Genomic DNA, 1,553 nt, shown 5'->3' on the forward strand with positions numbered 1-1,553 from the left:
AACTCAAATCAGCAAGAAAAAAAATAAAATAATTCCATCAAAAATTGGGCAATGGACATGAATCGACATTTCTCAAAAGAAGATATACAAACGGCCAACGAACATGTGAAAAAATGCTCAACATCAGTGGGAAATGCAAATTAAAACCACAATAAGGTACCACTTTACTCCAGCAAGAATGGTCATAATTAAAAAGTCAAAAAACAAAAGATATTGGTGTGGATGTGATGAAAAGGAAACACTTTGACATTGCTGGTGGGAATGTAATTAGTACAACTTCTATAGAGAACAGTATGGAGATTCCTTAAAGAACTAAAAGTAGATCTACCTTTTGATCCAGCAATCCCACTACTGGTTATCTACCCAAAGGAAAAGAAATCATTGTATGAAAAAGACACATACATATGCCTGTTTATAGCAGCACGATTCACAGTTGCAAACATATGGAACCAGCCTAAGTGCTTATCGACCAATGAGTGGATAAAGAAAATGTGGTATATATACACAATGGAATACTACTACAAAAAAGTACTAATATTTTTTGCTCCATAAAAAGGAACAAAATAATATGTTTTGCAGTAATTTGGATGGAGCTGGAGGCCATTATTCTAAGTGAAGTAATTCAGGAAGTAATTCAGTAATTCAGGTTCTCATTTATAAGTGGGAGCTAAGCTATGAGGATGCAAAGACATACAAAATGATATAATGGACCTTGGGAACTCAGGAGGCAGAGATTGGGAGAAGGGTGAGGGATAAAAGACTACATATTGGGTACAGTGTACACTACCTGGCTGTACACTAGCGTACACTACCTGGCTGTACACTAGCGTACACTACCTGGCTGTACACTAGCGTACACTACCTGGCTGTACACTAGCGTACACTACCTGGCTGTACACTAGCGTACACTACCTGGCTGTACACTAGCGTACACTACCTGGCTGTACACTAGCGTACACTACCTGGCTGTACACTAGCGTACACTACCTGGCTGTACACTAGTGTACACTTAGTGATGGGTACACTAAAATCTCAGAATTCACTACTATAGAAGTCATCCATGTAACCACTTGTACCATAAAAGCTATTGAAACACTTGTACCGTAAAAGCTATTGAAATTTTTTTAAAAATAAGAAAAATTTAAAATATAAAAATAAAAACAAAATGCCAACCACCAATTCCAACAGCATATCAAAGGATTATACGCCATGACAGAGTGGGATTTATTTTAGGAATGCAAAGTTGGTTGAATAAAAAAAATGAATGTAATACATTGTGTCAATAGAATAAAAGACAAACATCATATATCAATCCACACAGAAAAAGCATTTAACAAAATCCAACACCCCTTTATGATAAAAATAATCAACAAACTAAGACTAGTAAAGAACTCAGTTTGATAAAGGGCATAGACAAAAAACTCACAGTTAGCATCATATTTAATAGTGAAAGACTGGATGCTTTTCCCCTAAGATCAGGAACAAAACAAGGATATTCACTCTTGCTGCTTCTATTCACCATTGTGCTGAAGGTTCTAGCCAGGGCAATTAGG

The 1,553-nt window shown here is 36.3% G+C and overlaps 1 annotated feature.

The window, feature by feature from the left end:
• Window positions 695-1,196: an enhancer, noted in NCBI's record as "OCT4 hESC enhancer chr17:43427135-43427636 (GRCh37/hg19 assembly coordinates)". NCBI's record gives its function as "activates a minimal SCP1, AML or CMV promoter by ChIP-STARR-seq in primed H9 embryonic stem cells {active_cell/tissue: H9 hESC(primed)}" and the evidence as "EXISTENCE:reporter gene assay evidence [ECO:0000049][PMID:30033119]".

Source organism: Homo sapiens, chromosome 17 (genome assembly GCF_000001405.40).
Source record: "Homo sapiens chromosome 17, GRCh38.p14 Primary Assembly".
In the NCBI taxonomy this organism is placed as follows: domain Eukaryota; kingdom Metazoa; phylum Chordata; class Mammalia; order Primates; family Hominidae; genus Homo; species Homo sapiens.